We start from the raw sequence: 20016 nt of genomic DNA, 5'->3' as shown, positions 1-20016 counted from the left end.
TAGACAGCTTCTGCAGTTTCTCTATCAATACTTGCTGTTCATCTTACACCTTTATATTATGGATATGGATTCTTTTCTTAAACCTACTGAATGTGAAAGGAAAATAAATCTTGGAGCCCCCAAATCACTAAGCTAAAGAAAAAAACCAAGCTGAAAACTGCTCAGGGCAAATCTGCCTCCTATTCTATTCAAAATCATCTCTCTGCTCATGGAGATAGATGCATATCTGATTGCCTCCTTTGGAAAGGCTAATCAGAAACTCAAAAGAATGTAACCATTTCTCTCTTATCTACTTATGACCTGGAAACTTTCCCCACTTGTCTTGCCTTTCTGGACCAAACCAATGTTCATCTTACATGTATTGATTGATATCTCATGTCTCCCTAAAATGTATAAAACCAGGCTGTGCTTAGACCACTTTGGGCACACATCATCAGGATCTGCTGAGGCTGTGTTACAGGTGTGCATGCTTAATTTTGGCAAAATAAGCTTCCTAAATTGACTGACATCTGTCTCAGATATTTGGGGTTCACACGAACAATCTCTGTTAACTTCAAATTTTCTTCTGCAGCTTGCTTACTGCTCTCAGTCTTCATAAAATTAAAGAGAGTTAGGGTCCTGGATTAGGCTTTGGCTTAGGGGAATGTTGTGACTGGTTTGACCTTCTATCCAGACCACAAAACTTTCTCTGTATCAGCCATCAGGCTGTTTTGTTCTCTTATCACTCATGTGTTCTCTAGAGTATCACTTTGCATTTTCTTCAAGAACTTTTCTTTTGCATTTGCAACTTGGCCAACTGTTTGGCACAGGAGGCCTAACTTTCTGTCTGTCTTGGCTTTCAACATGCCTTCACTAAGCTTAATCATTTCTAGCTTTTGATTTAAATTGAGAGACATGTGACCCTCCTTTTCACTTAAACACTTAGAGCCCATTGTTGAATTGTTACCCGGCCTAATTTCAATATGGTTGTGTCTCAGGGAACAGGGAAGCCCCAGGGTAGGGAGAGAGCTGGGAAATGGCTGACTGTTGGAGCAGTCAGAACACATGCAATATTGGTTAAGTTCAACAATTCATATGGGTGCGGTTTGTGGTGTCTCTAAACAATTATAGTAATGTCAAAAATTTCTGAACACAGATCACCATAACAGATATAATAATAATGAAAACGTTTGAAATTTTGTGAGAAATTTTTAAATGGGACATAGACACAAAGTGAACACATGCTGTTGGAAAAATAGTGCTGATGGACTTATTCAATGCAGCTGCCACAAACCTTCAATTTGTAAAAAACATAGTATCTTAATAAAGTGAAGTACAATAAAACAAGTATGCCTACAAATGAATGAAATGTAATAAAGTAGTTTGTTTACAGTTTGTTTCGAAGATTACAGTTATTCTTTATCACTTTTAGCAATATTTTGAAGCTTTTAAGATAAACCTTAATTCATTTTTTTATCTATTGATTTAAAAATACTTAATGAAAAATTACTGTAAGTAAGTACTCTGGTATGTGCTAATGTAAGTGATCAATAAAATGTGCTTGATCTATATTTTCTGTATTTTATGATATATAAAGGAGGATTGCTACTAAACAAGTTATCAGAAGAACACACATAAATATATAAATGTAGCAACATGAAGACAGGCCGATATTTAGTTTAATTATCAGAGTTAAATAACTATAAAATAAATAATATTTATTTTAAATATAAACAAAATACATTCCTAAAATATCATTTAGCACTCAGTAAGCATTTGATATATGTTTGTTAAGTAAATATAATAAAAATTGAAATAAAATTGTAAAATGACTACAATTAAATTAGGAATATAATTTTAAATTTTTTGGACAGAAAGACTGTATAACACAAAAAGAGAAACAGATGAATGCTTTTATATTAATTCTATATATATCAACATGCCATTATTCCGAGTAAAACCTTTAAGATCTTATGCTAAAGATTTTTATTTCTTATACTGAAAACTCTCTTTTTTCACTTAAGCTTTGAAGGTTTTTTAAATGAATGCTTATTTATATATAGCAGTTAATTTGTCTGAAATATTTTATTTAAGTAATTTTGACCATTTTTTTCTAAAAGACAGAAGTGAAATATATAGTGCTCAAATAAAACAAAAGTGAAAATATAGTGCTCAAAACATAAAAGAAATTCAGTAAATGTTTACATAATGACCTTGTTATTCCATTTAAATGTGCATTTCTGTAATCTGTTACATACCACTTTGCTTAAAATAAGAACTTTCAATCTTATATGTTTGGAGAAATTCTTTACTTTTGTAATACTATCTTTCAGATTGTGATAATGCTATTTTAATGATAATCCTTAGTAATGACAATAATTCCAAGAGAATGTACTTGGCATTGTAAACACTTTTGAAACTATATTGCACTTCATGTGAGTTTCTCTTTTTATTCCTCTGAAAGAACATTAAATGGACAGAATGGTTCTGTGACAGCAGAATTGTATTCCTCCACTGCTCTGATAATAACATGCTCAGTTTATATAATATTAAAGAATCAACGTTATTCATATTTAAGCTTTCTTCCTCAGGGACTTCTATTTTTAATTCTAATGAAATTCCAATCATCTTATGTAGTCACATTTTAAGATGTTCATCACTGTCCAAATATTGCTTCTCATGTATGTATGTTTATAGTAATTAGTCTGATTTACTTAAATGCGGTGTAAGATAACAAACATATGCAAATAAAGTCTAGAAGGAATAGAATTAAAATGAGTGTTCATGATTCAGAATGGCCTTTTCAGGGACAGCTTCAAGCAAATTGGAAAGCACAGGGAATAAACCTATATTTTATCATATGTTTTATGGTGCCCATTCTTCTTCCCAAAGGTGTAATATAGTTTCTTACTTTCACCATTATTTGTAGCCAGATCAAGGCTCATGGCTCTTTTAACTCTGCCCCCAAATGAATGAACTCACATCTTTCTCAGCTTAAGAATTTCTGAAACTAAAAAATCTAGTTGATTCCAGTAACACGGTTCCACCCACATTAGTACACAAGGAATTTTTTTTAAGTGTAATCAAATCTACTAAGGTATAATTTACATCAATAAAAGTTACAGCTTAATGTGTACACTTCAATGGGTTTTGACAAACGCATTAAGCCACATAATCCCCACAACAGTCATGACGTAGAACATATTCGTGACACTCAGAAAGTTCCCTCGTTCTCCTTTACCATCAGAACTCTTCCCATGGTCCCCAGAACCCAACAGCCACGAGTCTGCTTTCTCTCACTGTAACTTTCACTTTTCTAGAATTGTGCATATAATGTACACAGAATAATAAAATTCTTTATGTAAATTAAATAACAGTATATAATTATTGTTTTTCATTTTAATTCACTTAGCATGATGCTTTTGAGATTCGTAAATGGTGTTGTACGTATGAGTAATTTCTTCCTTCTTATTGAGTTGTATAGATATATTTAATTGTATGGATATACCAAAATTTATTTATCTGTTCATTGGGTAATAACATTTGGGTTGTTTCCTGGGTTGGGGTATTTTGATTAAAGGTGCTATGAATATTCAAGTAAAGTCTTCGTGTGTAAATATTTTTCATTTTTTTTGGATAAATATGTAGCAGTAGGATTTTGGGGATTAAAGTATGTATGAATCTAACTTTATAGGAAATTGCTAAATTGTTTTCCATTATTCATTCCCAGTAGCTGTGAATGAGAGTTTCTGTTCCTCCACGTTCTCATTACCACTTTACCTTGTCAATACTTTCAATTTTAGCTATTCTGCAGTTGTGTAGTGTTGTCTCATTGTGTTTTAAATTTGCATTACCTAAAGACCAATGATGTTGAATGGTCTGAACCCAAAGCAGAAATATTATACAAACCATTAGAAAATGACCAAATATCCTTCTATCTTGGATAATATGAGTGACTGTTACTTCTTTACCAATTACATCTTTAGCCTCACTCTAGTCACATTGTTATAAATATGGTTTATTAAGATATCCACTCATAAACTTCTCCCCTACTTCTTCACAGCATCGTATCCAGAGCAAAGTCCTTCCCCAAAACATCTAACACAAAGACCAAACTGTAAATTAAATCTGTTCTTATAGCCCACTTACTAAGATGTCACAAGTTGTGTGTTCTCTCTCAAGACCATAAACCCAACTTGTTTATCTACAGACGTTTAATGTCATTGAGAGTTAAGAAGACTATCCCTTTCATACTGAATACCTTGGCACTTGCGTTGAAAATCAAATGGCTATATATGTGTTATTCTATGCTGGACTCTGTATTCTTTTTATTTCTCTATATGTCCATCCTTATGTGAATGTCACATTATATTAATTATTGAAGCTTTATAATTAGTTTTGGAGTCAACTAGTATAAGTTTTCCATCTTTGTTCCTTTTCAAAATGTTTTTGGCTTTTTTAGGTTATTTACCTTTCCATATATTTATTTGAGACTTTGCTTGAGAATTTCTGTTAAAAAAAAAAAAAAAAGCATTGCTTGGGATCATATTGATATTAGAGATCAGTTTGGAAAAAAAATCATATCTTAAAAATATTGGCTGGGCATGGTGGCTCACATCTGTACTCCCAGCACTTTGGGAGGCTGCAATGGGCAGATCACTTGAGGTCAGGAGTTCAAGACCAGCCTGGCCAACATGGTGAAACCCCGTTTCCACTAAAAACATACAAAAATTAGGCGGGTGGTGGTGGTGCGTGTCTGTAGTCCCAGTTACTTGGGAGGCTGAGGTGAGAGACTCTCTTGAACCTAGGAGGCAGAGGTTGCAGTGAGCCGAGATTGCACTGTAGCCTTGGCGACTGAGAGAGACTCCGTCTCAAAAAAAAGGCCTGGCGCAGTGGCTCAGGCCTGTAATCACAGCACTTTGGGAGGGTGAGGCAGGTGGATCAACTGAGGTCAGGAGTTCAAGACAAGCCTGGCTAACATGGTGAAACCCCATCTCTACTAAAAATACAAAAAATAGCCGGGGGTAGTGGCAGATGCCTGTAATCTCAGCTACTAGGGAGGCTGAGGCAGGAGAATTGCTGGAATCCAGGAGGCGGAGGTTGCAGTGAGCCAAGAGCACACCACTGCACTCCAGCCTGGGTGACAGAGGGAGACTCTGTCTCATTTAAAAAAAAAAAATTGAATTATTTAATTTGTGGATAGGATATTTCTCACTAAGTCTTTAATTTTTCTCATTGGTGTTTGTAGTTTTAGGTAGACAGGTATTACTTATATTACTTTTTAATTCATCGTTAAATATTTATATGTTTAGGTTCAGTATATTTAAGAGGTCTTTCTTTTAAATCAATTCCTAAGTATTTCATGTATTTTTGATAGTTTTTATAGAGAATTTAAAAAATTTTTAATTTTCAGTTATTTATTGTAAGAATATAGTAATATGAGGACTTTTTAAATACTAACAATTACCTAACTCATTTATAACTGCTAGTAACATTTTTTGTAGATTTCTTAGGATTTACTGTATAGATGATTTTGTTATCTATAAATAATAACACAATTATAAGATTTTTAGTAATATCCCCCATTTCTTTCCTATTTTTGGTTTCTATTTTTTCTTTGTTATTCTGGCTAGAATTTTATTATTTCTATTGATCTTTTAAAAAAATCACCCTTTGGTTTCATTGATTTTCTCTATTGTTTTCAGTATTTTATTTCATTTATATCTGGTCATGCCTTTATTTTATTTTTATACTTATTTCTAGATTAGTGCTATAAAATTCTGAGCACTGATATAGCTGCATACCACATTATTTCATGTTTTATAGTTTCATTTTAATTCAATTTAAAATATTTTCTAAATTCTTATGTGGACCAAAACCTATTGATCATACCTAGATTCTTTTTTATTTTTTTCCCTTACTGAAGCAAGAACAGGACTTTTAAATAACACTTATCAGGGACAATTTGTGATGGCTAAGAGCTCATGTTATCTGTGTCAGGGGCATGAGGCTGGAAGAAGGGAAGGAGGCTGACCGGGGAACCTTTTTGTTTTTTTTCAGTTTCTCACTAAAGGACTGGTTGTCACCTTCTCCATATGCATCTCCTAATTCTGGAAAGTGCCTCACACAGGAGTTCTTTCTTTCTGCCCCTTCACATGCTGCTGCAGCTCTGCCTTCAGTTCACAGTGCCCTCAGCCATTCCTGTGCTCCGAACCCTACCCCTCTTGGGACTAGGTAGTATATTGACTTGGGTGCCTATATCCCAGCAAACTATAAAAGTTTGTTTTCCTCCACCCCATGAACTTCTCTATAATATTAGGCTTTTGCCTTAAAAAATCATAGGTTTGAGTAAAGGTGGAGGAAGAGATCAAGAAGCACAGAGAGAGAGAGAGAGGGAGAGGGAGAGAGAGAGAGAGAGAGAGAGAGAGAGAGAGAGAGAGAGAGAGAGAGAGAGAAAACAAACAGACTCTGCCAGTAGCCAAAGCTTTGCATTCCCTGTAAGTTTTTCATAGCTGCCCTCTTGGACTCAATAGACTGACTGCTAATGTTTTCATTTTAGTCAGTGCTCTATGTCCTTATTCCTGACACCATTCATTTCAGATCTGGAGACCCCTAGACTCAGTGGCCTCAGCCATATTGCCTTTCGCCTTTGTCACTTGCGTCCCTGTGAAGAGACCACCAAACAGGCTTTGTGTGAGCAACAAGGCTGTTTATTTCACCTGGGTGCAGGCCGGCTGAGTCTGAAAAGAGAGTCAGCGAAAGGAGATGGGGTGGGGCCACTTTATAGGATTTGGGTAGGTAGTGGAAAATTACAGTCAAAGGGGATGTTCTCTGGCTGGCAGGGGCCGGGGTTACAAGGTGCTCAATGGGGGAGCTTCTGAGCCAGGAGAAGGAATTTCACAAGGTAATGTCATCACTTAAGACAGGAACTGGCCATTTTCACTTCTTTTGTGATTCTTCACTTGCTTCAGGCCATCTGGATCTATACGTGTAGGTCACAGGGGATATGATGGCTTAGCTTGCTGCACAAATTCCATGATAATTCCTTTCCTATTTGTACCCAGAAAATAATGAACAAAAATCAAAGCACCATTTGGACAACTTGTTTCAATTTTATCTCTTGCTGTTTATTCTTTAAACATTCATTCACAGGTAAAGCAGGGGGGACCCTTAATCCTTCATGCCTTACCCACAACTTAGAAAGAACATTTTCTACCAGATGCCAGGGAGTCTTCTCACATCCCCTAACCTGGCCTGTTTCCAGAAAGTGAAAGTACCCCAACCCCTTTGCCATAATTGTTAAAAAAAAAAAAACAGTGCAGATTTTAGCCTATAGCAAACTAACAAACTAGACTATTACCGTTTCATGGATGCTGGCAGACAACATGAGACTTTTGGGTCAAAGACGAAAGGCTTTATTCCCCATGGCACAGGAGGTAGCATAGGCTTTATGTTCTTGGTGGTTTTCTGTGCTTTCTAAGTACAACAAGGAAAATGAACCTGGGTCTAGGTATCCACCCCCCATACGCAGTGGGCTTCATTGTAGGAGAGGAACATTCAGTGTAGAGAATCTGCCATTTGACAGAGTCCTGTAAACAACTCCACTCCATGTCGCTTACTGCATATGTAACCTTGAGAAATGGTCCTGACAAGAGTAATTAGAACCTTTCTTCCTTGGCATATCCAGTAAGAACATGCTAGAACACTCAGGACCTATGCCAAATTGCCTCTCCCAACATTATCTTGCTCTTATTTTCCTACAGCTTTTTGAATCTAATGATGTGTAAAATAGCTATTTTAATATCTGTATGTGCTAGGTCTAAAATCCTGTTCTTTCTGGGTGTGTGTCTATTATTAATTTTCCTCTTGATCATTAATTATAATTGCCTACATCTTTGCATGTCTGGTAATTTTTTTTATTGGAAGACTCATACTGTGAATTGACATTATTGAGTGTTGTATTCTGATTTTTTCCTTGATATGGTGCGTTTTGTACTGATGTGCAATTATGAGTTTTTGAATCAATTAACTTATTTGAGTCTTGCCTTTCTCTTTGTTAGATCATGTTTGTGTATATAGAAATTATTCTACCTACTCCTTTATGAGGGTTTAGTCTTCAGCTTCAGGAAATTTTTTCTCACATATGCTCAAATCATTGTTAAGAGAAGGACTCCAGAGTACTGCTCTGCAGATCTCTCAAGTTCTTTCTCTGTGTATCTATCTTCCCCCTGGTACACTGTCTCACAATATTAGCTAAGTATTGTCCTCCTACTATCTCCAAAACTCAGATCTCTGTCTCTCTTCTAGGATATGTTTGGATTTTCCCTTCCTGAGGCATAAGCTAGAAACTGGCTCCAGACACTAAGTAGGTTCAAGTTTGTCTTATCTTGCAAACTTGTTTCCTTTTTTGTCTGTGTTCACAGTTCTGTGCTCCCTATTGTTTAATGTTTGAATACTGTTGTTTAATATCATTTGTTTATTTTTCTAGGAGGAGGATAAGCAAGAGAGTAACTAAATTCAGTCCTTGTGGTTCCTTTTATCCTCAAACTGAATTACCCCCTGCAGTTTTAATTACTCTGTGGGATTTAACGTTTTCAATACACAACTTCCTATGTCCAGTCCTTTCCTAACATTTTTGCTGGAGAATATAAGTCAAGAAGAAGCAATTAAGCTGCTTTATGACCGGCATGGATCAGTTGAGACTTTGAAGGACTTAGCTTACCTGTTTGTAAGTAGCTTCCTAACACAACACCAGCTCAAGGTGTAGAAAATTACACATTTTTGTAACAAATATTATTTAATACCTACAATATCCCAAGAGACATTTGTAGTATTAACTATTAATATTTCATTTAAACATGAAATAGATTTTAAAAAATCTTTGAAAACATAGCAACTGTGTTGTCTTACTATGACTAAGAATATGGGGATTGATGTGACATACTATTATTCATTTTATCTAGACCTTCTAGATCAAATTATATTCAGAAATTCAGTAACTAGTATGGTGTATGTGTTGAGGAGTAAGGAGACATAATTTTGCAGATTATTATTGCCTTGAAAAGTCCTCAGATAGCTTTCCAAATAGATAACTTCATGTTTACAGAAAAAAGTGTTTTTTTCATGGTCAATCACATATACTTGAACAATACATATGCCCACACACAAAATAATGAACAATAATCATAATTCTAATTATAAATAAGGAATTGCAATAATCTAAAGATCATCCGCTCTAATAATGGGAGGATCAAGAGAGAAGAGGATAAAGGAAGAAGTGGAGAAATATTATTTTTGGTAAGTCTGTGTCAGCCAGGGTTCAAGTAAGAGAAGCTGATTCTGGCTAACTTCAGCAAGCCAACAGTGATGTTCAAAGACAAAAGACAAAGACCAAACTCCAGGTCTTGTTATCTTCTTTCTAGAAGTGGGACACAGGAAACAATGAATAATGTCTTCAGGCCAGCAGTGTTGATATAAATTAGCTTCAAACATTTTCACACTTGGTGTCTCTTTGCTCAAGATTCAAATCTCAGAGAAAAATATTTCTTTGGTCCATTGGCCCATCCTGGGCCAAGGATAAATATGAATGAGAACTACACATTGACTGCAAGCCACATGCCCGATTCCAACAATGGCCAATTAGCTTTCCCCTCAATGCAAATGAATACCATGCAGACTAAACTAATGCATGTCCATTACAGGCTTAAATATGTGTCAATATGTTAGGTTTCATTGTCTTCTCTTTGTGTGTTATTTTTGTTTTACCTCTTTCATTTATCTATTGCTCTGAGATTAGGTATATATGAGTGATATTCAGTGGCAAACAAGAGTCAATATAAATAACATAAAACATAAATCTCTTTTGCTACAAATAAATAGATGAGACTTGTGAGTGCAAAAATGATCCAAGACATTAAGGGAAATGCAGAGAAATGTTGCTTTAGTTCAACATACTTTTATAGAATTAATCTCGTTCATTTGGTGGGTACCATGACAGATGAGAAGATGAGAGTATTTCACCACTGTTGAGGCCGTAAAGAAACTGGTTTTCCTTTGCTTCTCCACATCTTTAAAATTCATTAAAAATATAGGTTGATTAGACCTGGTAAATATTCCCTGAAAAGTGGTCACAGGAGACTGAGTTAACCTATGTTATATAAGTCCACTGAATCTTAGCAGACTAGGCTTCAGATTTGTTGCCCAGCATGGAGAAGTCACATCCAAGACAGAGCTTAGAAGAAATTGTGAGGAATTTTGTTTGTTGTGCTGGAAAGGCGTACAATGGTGTCCCCATCAGTGTTCTCTTCTATGATACTTGCTCATGGGTTTCCAATACATGAACTCTAAAATTTCCTTTACCATTTCCTTCAACATATATTTTTAAATTTTAGTGGTTTTGCTCTACCCAATGCCCCGCAGCTTCCTAAATTATTTTCCAAGTTGGGGACTAACTTCCTAAAGAGTCACTTTATCTTCAGGCGGTGAAGTCACTACCACACAGATTTGAAGTGGTGCTGGAAGACAGCATCTTAAAATAAAAAGATGATGGGTTTTAAACTAGTCTCTTAGTATTTTTGTGATTTTTTTTAAACATGTTTCATAATCATTTCCAACATTTCCAAAGAACTGACATATAGTGTGGACTCAAAAGTTTTGGTTTTCCTTTCTTACAATAGAGACAATAAAGTTCTTTTTGTGAGGTTCCAAAAGGCCAAACATGAGGGTTCAGAGTTATTAGTCACAAATTCAAATATTGCTGTATCTTTTTTTCTTCCTTTCTTCACAATAGAATTGACAAAATCCCAAACCTTGACGGTCCATAGTTGGATTTTTTTGGTAATTAAATTCAGCTCAGTTATATAGCATCCTGGCATTTGAGAGTTGCAAGGATTTTTTTGAATTAGAACAGTCAAAGTTTAACTTATAAGCTTTGTGATTTGGGACAAGCTACTTTGTATCTGCAGGCTTTAGTTTTCTCCTTTTAAAATAGATTATTAATACCTTACTCATGGGGAATAAAAGGCATCATATATATAAAGTGCCTAGCCTACTGCTAATCCCATAGTATTATCTAAATAAGTAGTAGCTGCTTATTGTCTTAACATCAATCCAGTTTATATTTCCAACCACTAAACTATAAGATTAATAAGAATCATAAATCATTTTTGCTTCACATTCCCCTTCTAATGTTTACTTCAATCTGTGGAAGACATGTAAAACAAATATATTAAGTAGATAAGTATATAAATATCCTCCTACATTTCTATTTTCTAGCTGAAGAATTTTTCCCTTCCTTTTTTCACTCCAGTTGTTTGTTTTGTTAGTATTAATGAGACTCCCGAATCCCATTATATACTTACCTGCACTGCTATGCCCCTATGCCCCTGTGGGATCTCGACTCTTTTAGAACAGATTGTTAAACGTCATCCACAATGTCATCTAATACTCCTTCCACTCCTTTACCTTAGCTGAAACCTAACTTCTCCCATGACACACATTTCTTAAACCTTTTTCATTAAGATAAGTCTACCAGAGAAAAATAATTGAAGGCCCATGTGAGCCCCAGTGTTAATCCATCAGGCAGTGATATGTTGGCCTAGGATATTGTATTTACCACATTTCCACCCAGGAAAAGTAATATATGTATTTGTAAGATCCTCCTGCATAAGCCATGTGGGCATGCCAGATCTATGGTTCCAAGACTCGCACTTCCAATACCCTCTCTTTATAGCACATACAAATGTTATTTATAAGAAATGTTCAATTTATTATCCTGAAATAAAATTCATAGATAACATAATGTAAGTAAACACAACATTTCCAAGAAATTATATATACTTATTTGCAATATAAAGGCAAAAAGTAATTAAAAACATTGTATTTTAATGTGATTGCTTGGGCATAATTAAACAAGAAGAAATAATAAAACAGCTTGATACTGGAATCAACTTATAACTAATAAATGTTGGTATAAGAAAAGTTTTTAAAAAATCAGAAGCCATCTGTATAAAAAGGACATGAAAATACAGAATAAAACTTAATGTTGGAATAAGTAAAAATAAGCCAGATTTTGCTTATCTTTTGTTTATGTGTTTGAGAAGAGAAATATGGAAATTAATTGGCATAGGAATAATATGCCAAGACAAACTAGACTGTTGAAGTGGAGGAAATGAGGAAGAAGATATTCTCATAAACTGTACCTTAGATGTAAGTTAATGTCAAAATAATTTCGTGTTATGACATAGAATGAAGTAGTAACAAGGTATCACAGAAGACAAATTATATCTGAAAATTTGTATTTGTTAAGAAGCAGATTTAGTTGCTACAACAAAGAGCTTAAACTTTAGTGACTGAAGCACAATAGATTTTACTTCTCATTGTATATTCTAGAGATGACAGCAAAAGGCAAATCAGATGGCTTCACCAATCCCAGGATGTGGCTTGCAAGGTAGTAGTGGTGTCACCATTTCCTAGCTCCTAGCAAGAGGGAAGAGAAGTCCAGGATAAGGAATTCTGTGATTGAGGAGCTGATTCAGAAGTTACAGACATTACCTCTTCCTTATGTAATTGACCCAGACTTCATCACATGACCATACCTAAATAGAGAAGAGACTGGGAATTTGACCATGTAACTGGATAAAATATCCATGGGTCTATTACTCAAAGAAGCATCAGTCTCTGACACAAAATCTCACCTTCTCCATTGAGGCAAACTGAATATTTCTATCACTTAAAAAAAACTTAGACATTAAGTAAAACTAAATGGAAGGGTAAGGGGTGAAAAAGACAATACCACAAAATTCCTTACAGTGTGTAAGGTAGATCTGGGAGAGTATAATATAGGACTGAAAAAAACAACAAAATACATCTAACAAACAAATAATTTGATGTATAATTTTCAAATATTTGTAATTGGATATGAAACATTGTTTAAATCACCTTTACTAAGGAAGTTCAATGATATCTCTGAATTTCATGTCTCTGTTAATTTAATAGAATTTGGTTCTTTTACTGTTAAAAAACAAAAAACCCTCAAATTTCTTTCTTATATATTTTCAGTTGATTTTGCCTTTCAATAATTGTACTACTGCACAAAGACATCTGCTTTAATCAAAATACATAGTTGAAAATGCTATCATAATAAATTGAGTTTCTTTCCAAGGAGTGGGTATGTAAGTTTTAATTGGGTCCAAAACCTATCATAACTAGATGTATTAAATCATATTTTGGCTTCAAAATCATTTTTTAATTAACTCCTCTTCAATTATTGGATAACATGTTTCACATCCATTTCAAATGGATTAATCATCCAATCTAGGATTGCATGTTCATACAGTTTTTAAATTTAATCATTATATCTCTTTAAGTAGCACACAAATGAGAGCAATATAGTTCCATTTCTGTATGCCTGAGCTTATCCTTATTTAGCTGCTACAAATATGGAAACAAAGTTCTTGGCAAGCAAAGATTTTTAAATAGTATAAAATTGTTGATACATTTCTTGATACTGCCATTGCTTTCTTTATCTCATAGGAAGGGCCTCATTTATCTCTTCAAATACATATTTGAAGATATGTCACATCATTTCACAACATTTTAATTTTGGTATTCAACTTGTGTTTGATTAAAACAATTCTACAATAAAATCAATTAGTGAACAAAGTTGTTTTAGGATCATTTTAGAATCAGTTGTTCATTTCTTCTTTATTATCTCTTCACAGTTTATGAAATTTATTATTCAGTGGATTGCATTAATTATATGAATATCACTGATAACAACAATTTTTGGTTTATGAAGTCTTTAAGTATAATTCTGAGTGGTTAAGTGTGATTGACAAATATTAAAATAAATGCTAAAACATTTGAGGAAATTTTAAAAATGTGGCTTTACACCCATGTTACTGACTGCTCATAGCTAGTGTTACATCTATTGTGTACACAATGATACTAGAGAGAAAATATTTTTCATATGAACTAATATATAAAGGTTATAGAAATTGTCATTTCCTTAGGTGGGTGCAATGGGATGTGCCTGTAGTAATAGCCACTTGGGAGGATCACTTGAGCCCGAGAGTTTGAGGCTTCAGTGAACTATAATTTCACAGCTGTAATCCAGCCTATGTGACAGGGGAGACTCTGTCTATAAAAATAAAAAATTAAAATCAATTAAAATTAAAATTGTCATTTCCTTTATCCTTACTGTTAGATTGTCAGTACAGACCCTCCAAGAAGCACCAAGGCAGAAGACAGAAAGGTAGGATACAAAATTCAGAAAATTAATGGAGGAAATGCCTATGAAGAATAAAGGAGAGGGAACATAAGACACACAGTGTCTTCAAAATGCAATGCAAATCTCACACTTGTGAAAGGAGAGGAAAAGGAGAGAGAAGAATCTTGGACTACAAATAAGTTTTAAGAAAGGTTTAAATAGACCAATATCAGATCGTTAAGCTAAAGTCACCCAGGAGGACTGTGGACTATTTGAACGGACTCACACTAATAACTCCATTGTGTTCAGTCATTGATTAGAACAGCCTGCGGGAAGATTGGCCTAAGCATGAACACAGTAATAGATCAGATACAGCTGAGGCCATCAGTGAACAATGTTCCCAGCTGTGGGAAATGTGAGCAGCTCATTTCCATGACTGCCTCATTAGTAATTCTGAAAACCAGATTTCCTCTATGACTTTTAATTAGAGGTAAACCAGACCTCACCAAGCCATAAAACTTTATTTCTATGCAGAATGCTTTCATCCATTTCTAAAGCAAAGATGCTTACCTGGTATTCATTATATAGTTGGATCATTATATAGTTGGATTTTTTTAACTTGCAGTAACTCAACTATTGTTCTTCAATCAGTCTTACTGCTAAATTCAATAGAAGAAAACTGAAACTGGATCCCTTCCTTACAGCTTATACAAAAATCAATTCAAGATGGTTTAAAGACTTAAATGTAAGACCTAAAACCATAAAAACCCTAGAAGAAAACCTAGGCAGTGTCATTTGGGACATGGGCATGGGCAAATACTTCATGACTAAAACAACAAAAGCAGTGGCAACAAAAGCCAAAACTGACAAATGGGACAATGTTCCATTTGTCAATTTTGACAAATGTTTGACAAATGTTCTTTTGCACAGCAAAATAAACTATCATCAGAGTGAACCGGCAACCTACAGAAAGGGAGAAAATTTTTGCAATGTATCCACTTGACAAAGGGCTAATATTCAGAATCTAGAAAGAACTTAGATAAATTTACAAGAAAAAAACAACCCCATTAAAAAGTGGGCAAAGAATATGAACAGACACTTTTCAAAAGAAGACATTTATACAGCCAACAAGCATATGAATAAAAGCTCATGATCACTGCTTATTAGAGAAATGCAAATCAAAACCACAATGAGATACCATCTCACACCAGTTAGAATGGAGGCCATTAAAAAGTCAGGAAACAACAGATGCTGGAGAGGATGTGGAGAAATAGGAACACTTATACACTGTTGATGGGAGTGTAAATTAGTTCAACCATTGTGGAAGACAGCATGGTGATTCCTCAAGGATCTAGAACCAGAAATACCATTTGACCCAACAATCCCATAACTGGGTATATACCCAAAGGATTATAAATCATTCTACTGTAAAGACACATGCACATGTATGTTTATTGCAACACTGTTCACAATAGAAAAGACTTGGAACCAACCCAAATGCCCATCAATAATAGATTGGATAAAGAAAATGTGGCACATATACACCATGGAATACTATGCAGCCATAAAAAAGGATGGGTTCATGTCCTTTGCAGGGCCACGGATGAAGCTGGAAACCATCATTCTCAGCAAAACAACACAGAAACAGAAAAGCAAACTGTGAATGTTCTCACTCATAAGTGGGAGTTGAACAATAAGAATGCATGGACACAGGGATGGGAACATCACACACTGGGGCCTGTCAGGGAGTGGGGGACTGGGGGAGGGAAAGCATTAGGAGAAATACCTAATGTAGATGACGGGTTGATGGCTGCAGCAAACCACCATGGCATGTGTATACATATGTAACAAACCTGCAAGTTCTGCACGTGTATCCCAGAACTTAAAGTATAATCATAATAAAAAAATTCAGGGATGAGGCATTAGACCTTAGTGAGCATCGGATCCTGGCACTTTGCATCATCTTATTTAGTAATCAGAGAAATCCTTTAAGATATGTGCTAGTACATCCAATTTGCAGATACTGAAACCAAGGCTCAGGGAATTTATATTTCCCAAGATTACCCAGTTGGGAAGTAGCTGAATAGGATTAGAACTCAGAGTTTTCTAATGCCAAATATGAGTACTATTCGCAGCATGTTCTTTATAACACAGCATTCAACATCCCTGTTTAATCTATTTTTTGGCAATAAACATGAATATCAGAATGAACTTACGTGATTATAGTTGATCTTTTTGAGCAAGAACAATATTTGGCCAGTGCCACTCTTTTATCTTATTATGGTGGGAATTAAGGGTTAAATGATGTATACTATATCAAAACTACTGGTTGAAATTTAAGCAAAGGAACAAGAAAATGTTCTCTTTAAGTATATGTTACTACTCTGGTTAACTTTTTCACCAAATGAAAAGGTTATTTTTAACCTTAATCTTATTAAGTTTTTAAATTAAACCTATGCTGATAATAAAAAAAACAAACAAATAAAAGCCACAATTAGGTATCACCTTACAAACCATTAGTATGGCTTTTATTAAAAAGGCAAAAAATAACAAATGTTGTCCAGAGTGCAGAGAAAAGAGGGACTTGTACACTGTTGGTGGAAATGTAGACTGGTGCAGCCACTGTGAAAAACTATATAGAGGTCACTGAAGAAATTTGAAACAGCACTGGCGTATCACCTAACAGTCTCTCTTCTGGGTATATACATAAAGGAAATAAAAGCATCTGGTAGGGATAGCTGCACTCTCATTTTCATTGAAACAATATTCACAATAGTTAACATATCGGAAACAACCTTAGTGTCTGTTGACAAATGAATGAATAAAGGAAGGCATTCTGTGGAATATTATTCAGCCTTAAAAAATAAGGAAACTCTGCCACTTGTGACAACATGGATTAACCTAAAGGACATTATGCTAAGTGAAATAAGCCAGACATAGAAAATAAAGTACTGCTATGTCAATTATATGCAGAATCTATCCCCCTCTCCCTGCAAAACAATCAAATACATAGAAACAGAGTAGAATGGTAGTTACCAGGGTGGGGTGGGGGGGTGGAGGAAAATGTCAAAGGGTACAGAGTTGCAGTTATGTAGGATAAATAAGTCTAGAGCTGTAATGTACAACATGAAGACTAGAGGTAATAATACTGTATTGTAACTGGTGTTAATAATTTGCCAAGAGAGTAGATTATAAGTATTCTTACCGCAAAAACGAAGCAAAGCAAAACTAAGAAACTATATGAGAAGATGCTATGCTAATTTGCTTGATTGCAGTAATCATGTAGTAATGTATATGTATGTCAAGATAAGTATGTCAAAACAACACGTTATATACCTTAAATATGTTCAAGAAAAAAAGCCAATAGGATTAGGAGTAGTTCCTCAGGACAGTGGGACAAGGAGTAATTCCCTTACATCACAAAATGTCACCCATTCATATCTCCTTTACACCAATTCCAGCAATGGCCTGCAGTCACTGCGACAGTCAAAAGGTCCTTACCTATTTCCAAAACGTCCCAGAAAACTGCGCTCTGAGGTCAGAGGCCTGTGAACCACAGAATATTTTCTATATTAGAGAGACTATTTGAACTGAGGAACAGCCATGGTATTTCCTTCCTAAGGCACTCAGCTCCTCTTTTACGATATTGATGAATCATTATTTTAAATGTATCTGCTTGATAAGGCACCAATTCATTGTCCTGTCAGAAAACTGAACCCTTTTTGCTCAAGTTTATCCTTTGTTTTGGCAAGAAAAAAGGGAAGGGGAGGGGAGGGGAGGGAAAAAAAAAAAGAAAAGAAAAAAGAAAATGAGAGGGAATTGCTCTGTCTATGCCTAAGATTCCAGAGTTTCAAGCTCAGAAGGGACATTTAGGGGATTAATTTTGTAAGAAAGAGAGAATAATTGTTGCTACCCTAAATTCTTGTGATCTAGAGCTTAAGGATCTCTTAGCTCCCACAGTTTTCCCTGTAGGACTCTGCTGGAAACAATAAGAATGACCACTAATTTCTTCCACTTTACAGCATTGCCTGGTACAGAGTGGATAGTTATTTCCTTATCATAATTTTCACCTTTTATTTCTAAGAATAAATTACATGCAAGTACAAACAGGATCATCAAACGAATATATATCATATGAAACCAGAGAAAAAAACACAGTTTTTTCAAATATGCTATTTTTCCAGAGACCAGAATTTAGTTTGTTTACTTGCCCTGACCAGGAAACACTAATATTCCTAACTATAGCTTGATCTTCTTGCAAGGCATAGATGATCTGTTTGTCATGGCTCTAAGAAACCTTACCAGATCATCCCTAATTTAACACTACAGTTGATCAGCTTCCTTGAGGATACCCTACTTCAGGGCTTTTTTGCTATTTAAATTATTTCCCTATTACTGAACTAGTAATCTCTATGTCACTGAATGAGGCATTCTTCTTGTGATTATCAATTTAAATAAGATGCTGACAAATATTATTAAGTGTAAAGACACAACAAGTTACTAAGTTTTCAATGGAAATAAAATGCAAATATTAAATATTTCCTGAATTCACAGTGGTTCAAAACAAAAATATCAACAGACAAACCTGGGTTGGAAGCCTGGCTCCAGCACATTTTAATTTTAATATTTACAGGATGAATAACCTAGAGCCAGTTATATGATCTCTTTATGCCTCTGTTGCCTCACCAATAAGTAAGATAAATAAGTGTCGTGTCATGGAATTGTCGGGATGCCTAAAGCAATAGCTTAGTGCTTGACCTATAATACAAGTTCAGTAATATTCAATAAAGTAAAATTATTATAGTGATAACATTTATTTTTATGCCTTATATATTAGCTTGTATGACTAATAAGTGATCCTACAATATTTCAGAGATTTTACTGATAAATAGAGGTTGGTTTTCCTTTCACTTAACAGTCCAGGGATGGCGATCTATATCAGCTAGTGGCAGTCATTTGGGGTCAGGCTGATGGCAGTTCTTCTAGCTATGAAATGTGGCTTTTAAACTCTCTCTGATCATCACCATTTAACCCTCATAAAGAGGGAAAAGGGTGAAAAAAAAAAAACCTTTTCTTAAACGCACTGACCAGAAATGGGACACAGCACTTCCAATCTTGTTTTGTTGGCGAAAGCTTAATCACAGGGCAAATGTGGCCGACTGGAAAATCATGTCGCAGCTAGTTAATACGGGCAAAGAAGAGAATAGATTTTGGTGGACATATAACCTCCCTGTCATAAATTTCTTAAAGTTATTAATGCAATAGCCTTTTCTCCATATTTCGAAAGGGTACAAGGATTGTCTCTATCACCAGGGGGTGAAAATATGGCTACTGGATTTTTACTTGAGCCTCTAGAATACATTTTTCAAAATTGAGGGCTGGTGTCCAACTGTCACCCAAACTCCTGGAGGAGGGCATTTTTACAAATGTAGATCAAGTTCTCTAGCTGACCCACTGTATCAGAATCTTCGGGGCTGGATCTAGGGATCTAACTTGATATTATCAAGTAAGATAGATAATTCCTACATTCATTCAACTTGAGAACTACTGCATTAAAACCTAAGGTTACACTTAAAGTTATAGATGACTTTCAATTTTAGTTCTTCCAGAGCTGCTACTATTTGTTCTTTAACATGATAGGACTAAAACAATCTAAACAAAAAGCAAAACTCATGGTGATTGTATCTCTATGATGCATCTTTTTCACTTTGCTCTCTTTCAGGTCATTGGAAAACACTGATGAATTCATTTTAGTATAAATTTCATTATTTGATATCTTACCTTCTATGTCCATCCCAACCCAGAATTATAATATTGTCAATAAAATG

General features: G+C 34.9%; 1 annotated feature.

Moving 5' to 3' along the window:
• Positions 6615-7205: an enhancer, noted in NCBI's record as "OCT4-NANOG-H3K27ac hESC enhancer chr18:28192518-28193108 (GRCh37/hg19 assembly coordinates)". NCBI's record gives its function as "activates a minimal SCP1, AML or CMV promoter by ChIP-STARR-seq in naive H9 embryonic stem cells {active_cell/tissue: H9 hESC(naive)}" and the evidence as "EXISTENCE:reporter gene assay evidence [ECO:0000049][PMID:30033119]".

Source organism: Homo sapiens, chromosome 18 (genome assembly GCF_000001405.40).
Source record: "Homo sapiens chromosome 18, GRCh38.p14 Primary Assembly".
Classification (NCBI taxonomy): domain Eukaryota; kingdom Metazoa; phylum Chordata; class Mammalia; order Primates; family Hominidae; genus Homo; species Homo sapiens.
The sequence above is the reverse complement of the archived record's forward strand: the minus strand, read 5'-3'. Positions and strand labels throughout refer to the sequence as shown.